A 16,721-nucleotide genomic window follows, 5' to 3' on the forward strand; every position below is an offset into this window, starting at 1 on the left:
TCCAGCACTTTGGGAGGCCTAGGCAGGCGGATTACCTGAGGTCAGGAGTTCGAGACCAGCCTGGCTAATATGGTGAAACCCCGTTCCCTAAAAATACAAAAATTAGCCAGGCGTGGTAGCAGGCGCCTGTAATCCCAGCTACTCAGGAGGCTGAGGCAGGAGAATTGCTTGAATCCAGGAGGCAGAGGTTGCAGTGAGCCGAGATCGCACCACTGCACTCCAGCCTGTGTGACAGAGACTCCGTCTCAAAAAATAAAAGTAAAATAAAAATAAAAAAAGAACCAAAAGTAGAACTACCATTTGATTCAGCATTCTCACTACTGGGTAACTACCCAGAGGAAAAGAAGTCATTATACGGAAAAGATACTTGGACACACATTTATAGCAGCATAATTCACAATTCAAAAAATATGGAACCAGCCCAAATGGCCATCAGTCAATGAGTGGATAAAGAAACTGTGAGATAGATATAGATATGGATATATGATGGAATCCTACTCAGCCATAAAAAGGAATGAATGAATAGCATTTGCAGCAACCTGGATGGAGTTGGAGAGTATTATTTTAAGTGAAGTAACTCAGGAATGGAAAACCAAACATCTTATGTTCTCACTCATAAGTGGGAGCTAAGCTATGAGGATGCAAAGGCATAAGAATGATACAGTGGACTTTGAGGACTTATGGAGAAAGGCTGGGAGGGGGCTGAGGGATAAAAGACTACAAATTGGATTCAGTCTATACTGCTCGGGTGATGCATACACCAGAATCTCACAGATCACCACTAAAGAACTTACTCATGTAACCAAATACCACCTGTTCCCCCAAAACCTATAGAAATAAAAATTTTTTTAAAAAGTAATTGCAGTTTTACCCATTACTTTCAATGGCAAAAACCGCAATTTACTTTTGCATCAACCTAAAAAATAAAAAGATCTCATGAGAACTTATCGCAATGATAGCACCAAGTGGGGTGATGTTAAACTATGAGAAACCATCCCTGTGATCCAGTCATCTCCCACCAGGCCCTACCTCCAACACTGGGGATTACAATTCAACATGAGTTTTGATGGGGACACAGAATCAAACCATATAATGGAATTAAGCTAGATATCAGTAACAAATAGTAACTAGAAAATTCCCAAATGTTTGATAATTAGGCAGTATACTTCTGACTGAAAGAGAAATTCACATTAGAAAATATTTTTAACTGAGTGATAATGAAAATATTACATATCAAAATGTAGGTTTCCTGTGCTGAGAGGGAAATTTTTCACCTTAAATGCATCTCTTGAAAGACTGAAAATCAAGGAATAGTGACCTAAAGTATTCATCTCAAGAGGTTAGAGAAAGAACAGCAAAATTGAAGCCCAAGGTAGGTCAAAGTGGATATTAGTAAAACTGGAAATACCTACAATAAAATTAACAAAGCCAAAAGTTAATTGTTTGAAAAGTTATTTAAATTGATAAGCCCCTCATAAAATCGAGATGAATTAAAAAGGAGATATTACCAGAGAATATGACATTAGAAAGAGAAGGGGATTTTCTGAATAACTTCACCAATAAGTTAGAGAATTTGGGCTTAAAAATGAGCAAATTATTAGAAAAACATAGATTACTAAAATTGACACAAGAAGCAGTAAATCAGAATGGTACTATCTTTATTAATGAAATTGAGCTTATTACTAAAAACCCAACAAAATAAACTCCAGAACCAAATGTGTTTACTGGTGAATTCTTCCCAACAAAGGTAGAAGTGAAAACCTTTTAGGTTGTTTATAAGGGTAGTAAACCTGATACCCAAAACTAACATTTTTTAATACCAAAACCCAACAGGAAATATAAGAAAGAAAAATAAATACAAGAAAGAATAATAAATCATGATGAGTTGGGTCTATTCAATGAATGAAAGCAAGCTAGGTTTAACATTCACAAATCAATGATAGTCATCATATTTATAAAAATAATAGGTAAATTTAATAAAAGTGGCTAGACACAAGAATTAATGTACCAGTGTCATTAGCACAACATTGAAAGGATGATCTGTTAAAAAGTAATTGATGAATGACCTAATCACAAGTTCTGTTCTTGGAAGGTTAAAGTTAATATTATAAAATAGAGGGAGAAAATGTTTGCAGATTAATCCTTGATAAAAGGACTTACATCCAGCATATATTTTTAAAAACTAAACATTCACTAATTAGACAACCCAATTTTTTTAATTGGCAGAATTTTAATAGACATGGCTCCAAAGAGGATATATGGCAAATAAATACATGAGAAACGGATTTTTAGCCATTTGTTAAACCTCTATGGGCCCTCTGGTTCCAGAGGGAATTTAATTAATTTTTAAGTTCAAAGTAATTTTGTTTTTTAAAAAGTGATTTCAGCTCTGTGTTTTGCTGCTGTTCCTCCTGTAAGGTAATGAATGGTCTTTGTAATCCAGTGTCCCGACATCCCTACCACCCACATGAATACCTTTTCTGCGTGGCCAGTAGACAAGGTCGGCAGGTGGATGTTGTCATCTTAACTGGGGAATCATGAACTGGCAAGAAGGGCTGTTCTGGCCCATGGCAAAGTCAACACTGAGTGTTCTTTCCCAAAGCTGCATTTTTATAAGACTGCTTTAAGGGGAGAATTACATGAAATGGAAACAGGCATCTGTAGTGGACCATTTGAAAAGCCCTTTATTTTCAGTTGTGACTTAACCAGCTGCCATTTGTACAGCATTTGAATCAGGAGTGAGACTAAGATTTCCTAACAGAATAATTTGAAGACTGAAAGAATTACATTAGGACTCTGTAACATCAGGAACTATTTTAGGGGAAGGTTGTAGTGGGTTTCCTATGAGTTTTCACACAAGGCTGTCATGTGAGAATAGGCCATGTGCAGTGGCTCTTTGGGAGATCAAGGCGGGTGGATTTCTTGAGCCCAGGAGTTCAAGGCCATCCTGGGCAACAACATGATAAAATCCTGTCTCTACAAAAAAATAAAAATAGCCGGGTGTGGTGGTGTGCATCTGTAGTCCCAGCTACTTGGGAATCTGAGGCAGGAGGATCACTTGAGCATGGGAGGTTGAGGCAGCAGTGAGCCGTGATTGTGCACTCCAGCCTGGGTGACAGTGAGACCCTGCCTAAAAAAAAAAAATAAAAACACAAAAGAGAATAGGCTCCAAACACGTTTAGGAAACCAGTTTTTATGTAGGGGAAGTCTCAGGTCAATAATAGGGAGATAGAGTGAAAAAGTCAGTTAGCCTGGGAAAAGAGGCTTCTTTCTTTAACTGTATGGAGGATTTAGTGAGAGGGAATGCTAGAAGAAGGTCAAAACAATTGTTACAGTGTGTCTTGTGTTATACACAAATATGCCTTACTCACCTTCAACTAAATGCATGCAGTAAACCAAAAGGAATGCAGTTCTACCTACTACCTCTCCCCATCTCCCACCCCCATGTTTTTCATTCTTCTAACTGAATGCACATTGGGAGAGACTTGTGAAAAAGAATGTAAGAATAATGTAAAGCCTTTCCCAGTCAACGACAGAAATGAAATGCAGTTAAGTGGTAGTAGCTTTGTAAGACATCCTTGAGTAAGAAATTAAAGACTCAACTGAGAGATCTAATTGTTCAGTTATCTTAGGGTTATGAATATAGATAAAACATTTTGAGTGTTTAAGGAATTTTTAAGGGTAATTTTAACTTTTGTCTAATCCCTGAATAATTTGCAATGCCACTACACTAAAATATGGAATCAGATCTGGTTACATCAAACTTAAACAAATATACAGCATCCACTCTTTTAGCTTCCCTGGGTCACACTGCAAGAAGAAAAACGGTCTTGGGCAACAGATGAAATAAACTAACACTGTGATAGCTGATAAACTTAAAAAAAATTGCAAAACACTTTCATAATGTTTTAAGGAAGTTTACAAATTTGTGTTGGGCCACATTCAAAGCTGTCTTGGGCCACAGGTTGGACAATGCTCGTTTTTCTTTTCCCATTTTGACCTCTAAAACATTTCTTGAGGTATAAAAATTGTTAAATCTTTTACCTAAAGATAATGTTCCTTTTGAAGTGATTGTTTTAGACTTAAATAAGTTGGATGGTTTTTAATCTGGTTAGAATGTAGGAGGACCTGAGATAGAAGGATCTTTACTTTTTGTATAAATATTTCTTCTGATCAAAACAGTGAGTTGTAAACTATGAGCTTTGTGATCTTTTCTGGTAAAAACAAGGGAAGAAAGTAACATTGTGAGGTATATCGTCATTGTAGGATTCTGTCAAACAGTTTTTCTTAATTATGTCTTGTAGTTATTTCATGTAATGAAATGTTTTGTTGTTTGCCTGTTGCATTTCAGAAGAATTTGAGTAGAATATATTTTTTTCCTTTTTTAAAAGAGTATCCTAAACTCATCAATTAAAGTGGCAGCAAACTTTTATGCTACTGTTTTCATTTTTTACTTTTTCCTTAAGATTCAAAGACTCGTTCTGGACACAGTATATTTTTGTTATTGAAACATCATAGGCTGTGATAGAGCTGTAGTAGCAGAAACCTAGAAGACAGAGGTTCTCCTAGAGAGAGACATGATTCAATAGGGAAAGTCTCTTGCTCTCACACATCTTTCTATATTCTCCTTGTTCTTGGTCCAAAGACAATATTCCAAATGTTGTATTCCAAAGCCAAATGTAAAACAATATTCATCTGTTTTAAATTAATAACTCTTTCAGCCTCTAAAAGAGACTTAGAATTTTGAAAAACAATATTTTTGAGACAGGGTCTCACTCTGTTGCCCATGCTGGAGTGCAGTGGCATGATTTCAGCTCACTACAACCTCCACCTCCCGGGTTCAAGTGATTTGTGTCTCAGCCTCTCAAGTAGCTGGGATTACAGACATGCACCACCACAGCTGGCTAATTTTTTTTTTTTTTTTCAGTAGAGATGAGATTTTGCCATGTTGGCCAGGGGCTGGCCTTGAACTCCTGGGCTCAAGTGATCTGCCCATGTCAGCCTCCCAACATGCTGGGATTATAGTCATGAGCTGCTGCATCCAGCTGAATTTTGAAAGTCTTTTAATTGTTTTGGAGAAAGAATTTTCTGTTTTTCATTAGAAAATTCCCTTCCCTTACACTTAGATATCTTATTATATATCTCTGATCTAGTATATTTAAAATATGATTCTGAGAATCAGAATATATCTACTTAATTCTTTGAATTCAAATTCGTTTGAAGTTATTGCTCCTCTTACAGATAAATGCCTCAGTGGATTAAATCTGTATGTTACTTTGGCAAGATTTGCACATATTAAGTGATTAGAAAAAGAGAACTGAACTTTAGATGGCTTTTATGGCTGTTGTTTAGGAAACAGTACTGCTGGAGCACCCTTTCAGTGCTGTGAAACAAGAACTGCAAAGAAAATGGATTGAAGAGTTGAATAAGCAAATAGAAGATGACCGTCAAAGAAAAATAGAGGAAAAAATTATATATTCAAAGGTAACTTATGAGGTTTTGTGGCTATAAAAGAAAAAATAAAATCAAAGTCTTTAATCAATTAAAACTAGAAGTATTCTGAAACTCTTGACAAGACCAGAATATTCCATTTATTCCACATTTGCCCATGTGAACCTGTTTCATTGAATGCATTATGTGATGTTGCATAGCTTCTTACAACTTTTTAGAAATTTCCTAATTCTTTGAATTTCTCAAATTTTCAAAGCTAGTGATCTATATGTATAAGGACTCTAAACAGTACAGTCTTGTTAATTTTTATGATGCTTATTCTGCTCTAAGGTGACTTTTAGAAATCATCTTTGGTTGTCATTTAGAATTATATATGAGAATAATTGGAAAAATTCTTAGCAATTCTTATTTGTCATCATTAGGGTGAGGAACATGACAGATGGGCAATGCACTTTGATTCATTAAAGAGTTATCCTGGTTCTCAATCTCAGCTGTTCTCTCAGTCAACACACAAACAACCTGAGTACTTCTGTGTCTCTCCTGACACTCAGGAGCTGGCTGATGTCAGCAGTGTTTGTACACCTACAACCGGAAGCCAGGTTGAACCTTCAGAGGAGGAGCATATAGCAAAACCTATTAAGGATGTGGTTATGGCAAACAGTAAGAAAACAAAGTAAGTTCATGCTTATGTATTTATTGACTTTTCAGAAAGTCTGTGTGCTTTAGTAAGACTGTTGTTATGTCTAATTGGTTTCAGGTTTGGTATTTGTCTTTGAAATAGAAATAATTAGTAGATTTATCCCAAACAAAAATGATTTAGCTTGTTGAATCTACCTTTTTGAGGTTTTGAATAGCTAATGTATGTATCTTGCCAGCTTTCTCCGTTCTATGACTGCTCTCTTGGACCCAGCTCAGATTGAGGAACGAGACAGACGACGACAAAAACAATTAGAGCATCAGGTATTGCATTGTTAAACATTGTTCTTTACCTTAATAAGTAACAGTCATGGTGAACATATACCTAAGTAAATGGAAATTTAAATTCTGATGTAAACTTTACAGCATAGGTCCTGTCCAGTTGTGTCACGAATCCAATCCCTACCACAACTGGCATTGTAATATTAGAATTAGCTTATCAAATGCTACAGCCACCTGCCTTCCAGTACAGAAGGTCTTTAATATATTAAGTTGTATATGTGAATTTGTGTTGTCTTAGGTTAGTACTGGTTTTTTTTTTTTTCATCAATTTATTTCTCCTGAGTTCTGTTTAAGATGAGAATTCATTCTTTGAATAGGGATTGAACTAGAATTATGACTAAGAAATCTAATGCATAATGGCCGGGCACGGTGGCTCACGCCTGTAATCCCAGCACTTTGGGAGGCTGAGTGGGCAGATCACGAGGTCAGGAGATCAAGACCATCCTGTGAATGGTGAAACCCCGTCTCTACTAAAAATACAAAAAATTAGCTGGGCGTGGTGGCAGGCGCCTGTAGTCCCCAGCTACTCGGGAGGCTGAGGTGGGAGAATGGCATGAACCTGGGAGGCAGAGCTTGCAGTGAGCTGAGATTGTGCTACTGCACTCCAGCCTGGGCGACAGAGTGAGACTCCATCTCAAAAAAAAAAAAGAAATCTAATGCATAATATAAGAAAGGAGGCTAAAATTAAAATTAAAACTTCCTGTCCTGATTTTAGCCTAATGCTAAAGGGACTTTAATATCTGCATAATTCTTCAAATCCTTTGATATATGAATTTGGCATCATTAATGTTATGCTTAGTCAGTGAGCAGACATTTGCAGAGCATCTGCTACTTAACAGGCACTATGCTAAGCACTGAGATTATTTCTTCAGTTTTTTTTAATACCATTTCCTCCAGTAGCCCTCCTAGGGTTGAAGAAAAGGCATGTAGAACTTGACAGTACAAATGGGAGATGGGAGAAATGCATTGGAAATTTGACATTTCCACTTCACTTATATAAATAATACTTTCAGTATGCTGATAAAAACTTATTTCTACAGTCACCAAACTAATGCTTCATGGATTTTAAAAATTGATATATAATGTTTTATATATTTATAGGATACATATGATATTTTGTTATATATGTAGAATGCGTAATGATTCAGCCAGAGTATTCTGGTATCTATCACCTTGAGTATTTATCATTTCTGTGTTGGGAACATTTCAAGTTTACTAGCCAATTTGAAATATATAATACATTGTTGCTGACCATAGTCACCTTACTATTGCTATCAAACATTAGAACTTATTCCTTTCATCTAACCATATGTTTGTACCCATTAACCTACCTCTCTTGATCACTACCACCCTCACACACACCCTTCCCAGCCTTTGATACCTATCATTCCATTCTTTAGCTCGTTGAGACCTACTTTTTTAGCTCCCACATATGAGTGGGAACATGTGATGTTTATCTTTATATACCTGGCTTATTTCACTTAACATAATGACGTCCAGTCCCATCTGTGTTGCTGTAAATGACAAGATTCTATTCTTTCTTTATGGCCAAATAGTATCCCATTGTGTATATACCACATTTTGTTTATCTATTTGTTCATCAATGGACACTCAGATTGTAAATAGTGCTACAGTTAGCACAAGAGTGCAGGTTTCCTTTTGATATACAGATTTCATGTTCTTTCGATAAATATCCAGTACTGGGAATGCTGGATCATATGGTAGTTCCATTTTTAGTTTTTTGAGACGTCTCCATACTGTTTTCCATAGTGACTGTATTTATTTACATTCCCACTAACAATGTATAAGGATTCCCTTTTCTCCGCTTCCTTGGCAGTATCTGTTAGTTTTTGTCTTTTGGTATGTTTGTTTGTTTGCTTGTTTTTGAGACAGGGTCTTGCTCTGCTGCGCAGTCTGGTATGCAGTGGCATAATCATGGCTCACTGTAGCCTCATACCCCTGGGCTCAAGCAATCCTGCTGCCCGAGCCTCCCCAGTAGCTGATATTACAAGCATGCGCCACCATGTCAGGCTAATGTTAATTTTTTTCTTTTATAGAGACACAGTCTCACTATGTTGACCAGACTGGTTTCGAGCTCCTTGCCTCAAACAGTCCTCCAACCTCAGCCTCCCAGAGTGCTGGGATTACAGGCATGAGCCACCGGGCCCAGCATTTTTGTCTTTTTAGTAATAGCCATTCTAACTGAGGCGATATGATATCTCATTATGGGTTTGATTTGCATTTCTGTGATTAGTAATGTTGAGCATTTTTTCATGTACCTGTTTGCCATTTATATGTCTTCTTTAGAAAAATGTTTATTAATGTTCTTTGCCCACTTTTTAATGGAATTATTTGGATTTTTGGTGTGTGTGTGTGTTTAGTTTGAGTTTCTTAGGCATTCTGGATAGTAGCCCTTTGTTGGATGAATAGTTTGCAGATATTCAAACTACTGAATATGCAAGCTATTGAATATTCAAACTACTGAATATTCAAACTGGGGGACAGACTGTCTCTTTCACTCTGGTTATTGTTTCCTTTCCCGTGCAGAAGATTTTTAGTTCAATGTAGCCCTATTCGTATGTTTTTGGTCCCTGTGTTTTTGAGGTCTCGACCACAAACTCTATACCAGTGTCTTGAAGTGTTTTCCGTATGTTTTCTTCTAGTAGGTTTACATTTTTGGGTCATACATTTAACTATTTAATCCATCTTGAATTTTTTTTTTTTTTTTTTTTGAAGTGGAGTCTCAGACTGTCACCCTGGAATGCAGTGACGTGATCAGCTCACTGCCGCCTCCACCTCCCAGGTTCAAGCAATTCTCCCTGCTCAGCCTCCTGAGTAGCTGGGATTACGGGTGCATGCCACCACACCTGGCTAATTTTTTTTTTTTTTTTTTAGTACAGATGGGGTTTCACCATGTTGGCCAGGCTGGTCTTGAACTCCTGACCTTAAATGATCCACCTGCCTTGCCCTCCCAAAGTGCTAGGATTACAGGCATGAGCTACCACACCAGCCCTTGAATTGTTTTTTGAATATGGTGAGAGATGGGGCTCCAATTTCATTCCTCTGCATATAGATATCCAATTTTCCAAGCATTATTTATTGAAGAGTGTGTGCTTTCCCCAACTATGTTCTTGACACTTTTGTTGAAAATCAGTTGGCTGTAAATACATGGATTTATTTCTGGATTCCCTATTCTGTTCCATTGATCTATATGTCTGTTTTTATACCAATACCATGCTGTTGTGGTTCCTATAGTCTTGTAATGTATTTTGAAGTCAGGTAGTGTGATGCCTTCAGCTTTGTTCTTTTGATCCACCTTGATTTGGTTATTACGGCTCTTTTTTGGTTTCATAGAAAGTTTTGAATTTTTTCTACTTCTGTGAAAAATGAAGGTGGTATTTTGATAGAGATAGCATTGAATTTGTAGATTGCCTTAGGCATAATTCTTCTGATCCATGAACATGGGATGTCTTGCCATTTGTTTGTATCCTCTTTCGTTTATTTCATCTGTTTTGTAGTTTTTTATGTAGAAATGTGTAACCCCCTTGGTTAAATTTATTCCTAGATATTTTATTGTTTTGTAGCTATTGTAGGTGGGATTGCCTTCTTTATTTCTCAGCTAGTGTATAGAAATGCTACTGATTTTTGTATGTTGATTTTGTATTCTGCAACTTTACTGAATTTATTGATCAGATGTGAGGTTTTTGTGGAGTCTAGGTTTTGTTTTGGGGTTTTTTTTTTTTTTTGAGACAGAGCCTCGCTCTGTTGCCTAGGCTGGAGTGCAGTGGCGCGATCTCATCCCACTGCAACCTCTGCCTCACAGGTTCAAGCGATTCTCCTGCCTCAGCCTTCCAAGTAGCTGGGACTACAGGCATGTGCCACCGCACCTTGTAATTTTTGTATTTTTTTAGTAGAGATGGGGTTTCGCAGTGTTGGCCAGGCTGGTCTCGAACTCCTGACCTCAGGTGATCCACCCGCCTTGGCCTCCCAAAGTGCTGGGATTTCAGGCATGAGCCACTGTGCCAGTGGAGTCTAGGGTTTTTAAGATATAAGATGATAACATCAGCAAAGGGGACGTTTTGATTTTAGTTTGTTTTGTTTTGTTTTGTTTGTTTGTTTGTTTGTTTGTTTGTTTTGAGACAGCTCTGTCACCTAGGCTGGACTTCAGTGGCACAATGTTGGATCACTACAACCTCCACCTTCTGGGTTCAAGCAATTCCCATGCCTCAGCCACCCAAGTAGCTGGAATTACAGGTGTGTGCCACCATGCCTGGGTAATTTTTGCATAGGGGACTTTTTATTTTATTTTATTTATTTTCTATTTTATTTATTTTATTTATTTTCTAATTTAGGTGCCTTTTATTTATCTTGCCTGGTTGCTCTGGCTAGGACTTCTGTTGCTATGTTGAATAAGAATGGTGAAAGTGGGCATCCTTGTTTTGTTTTAGCTCTTAGGGGAAAGGCTTTCAGCTTTTCCCCATTAAGTATGATGTTAGCTGTGGGTTTGTCATATATAGTCTTTATTATTTTAAGGTATATACCTTCTGTGCCTAGTTTGTTGAGAGTTTTTATTATTTAGTGATGTTGAATTTTGTGAAATGTTTTTTCTTGTCTACTGAGATGATCATATGGTTTTTGTCTTTCATTCTGTTGATGTGATGTATCACATTTATTGATTTGTGTATGTTGAATTCTGCCTGCATCCCTGGGATAAATCCCACTTAATTATTGGGTATTAGTTTTCTCATGTGCTGTTGGATTGAGTTTGCTAGTATTTTGTTGAGAATTTTTGCATCTATGTTCATCAAAAATAGTGGCCTGTAATTTTCTTTGTTCTTTTTTGTTGTGTCCTTCTCTGGCTTTGGTATCAGGGTAATGCTGGCCTCACAGAATGAGTTAGGGAAAATTCCCTCCTCTTTGATTTTTTTGGAATAGTTTGGGAAGAATTGGTTAGTTCTTTGATAGTTTGGTAGAATTCATTAGTGAAGTTGTCTGGTCCTGGACTTTCCTTTGTTGGGAGACTTTTTTATTACCAATTCAGTCTTATTACTCATTACTGGTCTGTTCAGGTTTTCTATTTCTTCCTGATTCAATCTTGATAGCTTGTGTGTCTCCAGGAATTTATCCATTTCTTCTAGATTTTCTAGTTTGTCTGTGTGTAGTTGTTCATAATAGCCTCTGATGATCTCTTGTATTTCTGTGGTATCAGTTGTAATTTCTCCTTTTTTATTCCTGATTTTATTTGGGTCTTCTCTCTTCGGTTCTTGGTTAGTCTATCAAGTAGCTTATTGGTTTTGTTTATCTTTTAAAAAATCTTTGTTTCTTTGATCCTTTGTATTGTGTGTCTCTATTTTGTTTAATTCTGCTCTAGTGTTTGTTATTTCTTTCCACTAATTTGGGGTTTGTTCTTTTCTAGTTCCTTTTAGGTACATCATTAGATTGCTTTTTGAAATGTTTCCACTTTTTTGATATAGGCACTTATTGCTAAAATTTCCCTCTTAGCACTGCTTTTGCTGTATCCCATAGGTTTTGGTATGTTGGGTTTAAATTTTCATTTTTTTCAAGAATTTTTTTAAATTTTTTCCTTGACTGGATGCTTGTTCAGAAGCATGTGGTTTAATTTCTATTTATTGGTACAGTTGCCAGTGTTCCTCTCATTATTGATTACTGGTTTTGTTCCATTGTGGTTTGAGAAGATACTTGATATGAAGTCAGTTTTTTAAAGTTTGTTAAGATTTGTTTTGTGTCCTAACATATGATCTGTCCTGGAGAATAATCCTTATGCTAATGAAAAGAATGTGTATTCTCTTAACTGTTGGATGAGATGTTCTGTGTCCATGTGTTCTCATGGTTCAACTCCCACTTATGAGTGAGAACGTGCAGTGTTTGGTTTTCTGTTCTTGTGTTAGTTTGCTGAGAATTATGGTTTCCAGCTTCATCCATGTCCCTGCAAAGGACATGCACTCATCCTTTTTTATGGCTGCATAGTATTCCATGGTGTATATGTGCCACATTTTCTTTATCGAGTCTATCATTGATGGGCATTTGGGTTGGTTCCAAGTCTTTGCTGTAGTGCTGCAATAAACATACATGTGCACTTATCTTTTTTTTTTTTTTTTTTGAGACAGAGTCTTGCTCTGTCGCCAGGCTGGAGTGCAGTGGTGCAATCTCAGCTCACTGCGACCTCTGCCTCCCGGGTTCAAGTGATTCTCCTGCCCCACCCTCCCAAGTAGCTGGGATTATAGGTGCCCGCCACCGTGCCTGGCTAATTTTTGTATTTTTAGTACAGAGAGCATTTCACCATGTTGGCCAGGATGGTCTCAATCTCCTGACCCCATGATCGGGCTACCTTGGCCTCCAAAAGTGCTGGGATTACAGGCATGAGCCACCGCGCCCGGCTGCATGTATCTTTATAGTAGAATGATTTATAATCCCTTCGGTATATACCTAGTAATGGGATTGCTGGGTCGAATGGTAGTTCTGGTTCTGGATCCTTGAGGAATTGCCACACTGTCTTCCACAATGGTTGAACTAATTTACGCTCCCACCAACAGTGTAAAAGCGTTCCTATTTCACCACATCCTCTCCAGCATCTGTTGTTTCCTGACTTTTTAATGATCGCCATTCTAACTGGCATGAGATGGTATCTCATTGTGGTTTTGATTTGCATTTCTCTAATGACCAGTGATGATGAGCTTTTCTCCATATGTTTGTTGGCTGCATAAATGTCTTCTTTTGAGAAGTGTCTGCTCATAGTCCTTTGCCTACTTTTTGATGGGGTTGTTTTTTTCTTGTAAATTTGTTTAGGTTCTTTGTAGATTTTGAATATTAGCCCTTTGTCAGATGGGTAGATTGCAGAAATTGTCTGCCATTCTGTGGGTTGCCTGTTCACTCTGATGATAGTTTCTTTTGCTGTGCAGAAGTTCTTTAGTTTAATTAGATCCCATTTGTCAATTTCAGCTTTTGTTGCCATTGCTTTTGGTGTTTTAGTCATTTTGTCCATGCCTGTGTCCTGAATGATACTGCCTAGGTTTACTTCTAGGGTTTTTATGGTTTTAGGTCTTACGTTTAAGTCTTTATTCCATCTTGAGTTAATTTTTGTATAAGGTGTAAGGAAGGAGTCCAGTTTCAGTTTTCTGCATATGGCTAGCCAGTTTTCCCAACACCATTTATGAAGTAAGGAATCCTTTCCCCATTGCTTGTTTGTGTCAGGTTTGTCAAAGATCAGATGGTTGTGGGTGTGTGGTGTTATTTCTGAGGCCTCTCTTCTGTTCTATTCATCTATATATCTGTTTTGGTACCAGTACCATGCTGCTTTGGTTATTGTAACCTTGTAGTATAGTTTGAAGTGAGACAGCATGATGCCTCCAGCTTTGTTCTTTTTGGTTAGGATTGTGTTGGCTGTTTGGGCTGTTTTTTGATTCCATAGGAAATTTAAAGTAGTTTTTTCCAATTCTGTGAAGAAAGTGAGTGGTAGCTTGATGGGGATAGCATTGAATCTGTACATTACTTTGGGCAATATGGTCATTTTCACAATATTAATTCTTCCTATCCATGAGTATGGAGTGTTTTTCCATTTGTTTGTGTCCTCTTTTATTTCCTTGAGCAGTGGTTTGTAGTTCTCCTTAAAGAGGTCCTTCACGTCCCTTGTAAGTTGTATTCCTAGGTATTTTATTCTCTTAGTAGCAGTTGTGAATGGGAGTTCACTCATGATTTGGCTGTTTGTCTGTTATTGGTGTATAAGAATGCTTGTGATTTTTGCACATTGATTTTGTATCCTGAGACTTTGCTGAAGTTGCTTATCAGCTTAAGGAGATTTGGGGCTGAGACAATGGGGTTTTCTAAATATACAATCATGTCATCTGCAAACAGAGACAACTTAACTTCCTCTTTTCCTATTTGAATACCCTTTATTTCTTTCTCATGCCTGATTGCCTTGGCCAGAACTTCCAATACTATGTTGAATAGGAGTGGAGAGAGAGGGCATCCTTGCCTTTTGCCGTTTTTCAAGGGAATGCTTCCAGTTTTTGCCCATTCAGTATGATATTGGCTGTGGGTTTGTCATAAGTAGCTCTTATTATTTTTAGATACGTTCCATCAATACCTAGTTTATTGAGAGTTTTTAGCATGAAGGGATGTTGAATTTTGTTGAAGGCTTTTTGTGCAACTATTGAGATAATCATGTGGTTTTTGTCATTGGTTCTGTTTATGTGAATAGATTACGTTTACTGATTTCCATATGATGAACCAGCCTTGCATCCCAGATATGAAGCCAACTTGATCGTGCTGGATAAGCTTTTTGATGTGCTGCTGGATTTGATTTGACAGTATTTTGTTGAGGATTTTTGCATCAATGTTCATCAGGGATATTGGCCTGAAATTCTCTTTTTTTGTTGTTGTTGTGTCTCTGCCAGGTTTTGGTATCAGGATGATGTTGGTCTCATAAAATTAATTAGGGAGGATTCCCTCTATTTCTATTGATTGGAATAGTTTCAGAAGGAATGGTACCAGCTCCTCTTTGTACCTCTGGTAGAATTCTGCTGTGAATCCGTCTGGTCCTGGACTTCTTTTGGTTGGTAGGCTATTAATTATTGCCTCAATTTCAGACCTGGTTATTGGTATCTTCAGGGATTCGTCTTCTTCTTGGTTTAGACTTGGGAGGGTGTATGTGTCCAGGAATTTATCCATTTCTTCTAGATTTTCTAGTTTATTTGTGTAGAGGTGTTTATAGTATTCTTTGATGGTAGTTTGTATTTCTGTGGGAACAGCGGTGATATCCCCTTTATCATTTTTTTTTTTTTTTTTTGAGACAGAGTGTTGCTCTGTCACCCAGGCTGGAGTGCAGTGGCATGATCTCGGCTCACTGCAAGCTCTGCCTCCCAGGTTCACGCCATTCTCCTGCCTCAGCCTCCTGAGTAGCTGGGACTACAGGCGCCCACCATCACACCCAGCTAATTTTTTGTATTTTTTAGTAGAGACGGGGTTTCACCGTGTTAGCCAGGATGGTCTCAATCTCCCAACCTCGTGATCCACCCACCTCGGCCTCCCAAAGTACTGGGATTACAGGTGTGAGGCACGGCACCCGGCCCCCTTTATCATTTTTTATTGCGTCTGTTTGATTCTTCTCTCTTTTCTTCTTATTAGTCTGGCTAGTGGTCTGTCTATTTTGTTGATCTTTTCAAAAAGCCAGCTCCTGGATTCATTGATTTTTTTTGAAGGGTTTCGTGTCTGTATCTCCTACAGTTCTGCTCTAATCTTAGTTATTTCTTGTCTTCTGGTAGCTTTTGAATTTGTTTGCTCTTGTTTCTCTAGTTCTTTTAGTTGTGATGTTAGGGTGTCAATTTTAGATCTTTCCTGCTTTCTCCTGTGGGCATTTAGTGCTATAAATTTCCCTGTAAACACTGCTTTAAATGTGTCCCATAGATTTTGGTACGTTGTCTCTTTGTTCTCATTGGTTTCAAATAACATCTTTATTTCTGTCTTAATTTCGTTATTTACCCAGTAGTCATTCAGGAGCAGGTTGGTCATTTTCCACGTAGTTGAGCGGTTTTGAGTGAGTTTCTTAATCCTGAGTTCTAATTTGATTGCACTGTGGTCTGAGAGACTGTGTTTTTATATCTAGTTTTTTTTGCATTTGCTGAGGAGTGTTTTACTTCCAATTGTGTGGTTAATTTTAGAATAAGTGTGATTAAGTCCTCAGAAGAATGTAGATTCTGTTGATTTGGGGTGGAGAGTTCTGTAGATGTCTATTAGGTCTGCTTGGTCCAGAGCTGAGTTCAAGTCCTGAATATCCTTGTTAATTTTCTGTCTCATTGATCTGTCTGATATTGACAGTGGGATGTTAAAGTCTCCCATTATCATTGTGTGGGAGTCTAAGTCTCTTTGTAGGTCTCTAAGGACTTGCTTTATGAATCTGGGTGCTTCTGTTTTGGGTACATATATATTTAGGATAGTTAGCTCTTCTTGTTGCATTGATCCCTTTACCATTATGTAATGGCCTTCTTTGTCTCTTTTGATCTTTGTTGGTTTAAAGTCTGTTTTATCAGAGACTAGGATTGCTTTTCTTTCTCTCCGTTTGATTGGTAAATACTCCTTCATCCCTTTATTTTGAGCCTATGTGTGTCTCTGCGTGTGAGATGGGTCTCCTGAATACAGCACACTGTTGGGTCTTGATTCTTTATCCAGTTTGCCAGTCTGTGTCTTTTAATTGGGACATTTAGCCCATTTACATTTAAGGTTTATATTGTTATGTGTGAATTTGATCCTGTCATTATGATGCTAGCTGGTTATTT

General features: G+C 37.6%; 1 protein-coding gene across 40 annotated transcripts in view; it reads left to right on the plus strand.

The window, feature by feature from the left end:
• CCDC66 (coiled-coil domain containing 66) overlaps positions 1–16,721 on the plus strand; it is a 64,682-nt gene that overhangs the window by 30,462 nt on the left and 17,499 nt on the right. For 26 of the 40 annotated variants that reach the window (NR_148371.1, NR_148368.1, NR_148378.1 and 23 more), the window contains 3 exons: positions 5,353–5,484; positions 5,874–6,124; positions 6,327–6,411. Coding sequence is in view for 26 of the 40 variants with exons in the window: in XM_047448017.1 (XP_047303973.1) it covers positions 5,353–5,484; positions 5,874–6,124; positions 6,327–6,411 (468 nt within the window). In the remaining 14 variants the exon portion in view is untranslated. Of the gene's footprint in view, positions 1–5,241; positions 5,485–5,873; positions 6,125–6,326; positions 6,412–10,572; positions 10,684–16,721 lie in introns of all 40 variants that reach the window. The other 14 variants (NR_148372.1, NR_148367.1, NR_148366.1 and 11 more) reach the window with 4 other exon arrangements.

This window comes from Homo sapiens, chromosome 3, assembly GCF_000001405.40.
Source record: "Homo sapiens chromosome 3, GRCh38.p14 Primary Assembly".
Taxonomy (NCBI): Eukaryota; Metazoa; Chordata; class Mammalia; order Primates; family Hominidae; genus Homo; species Homo sapiens.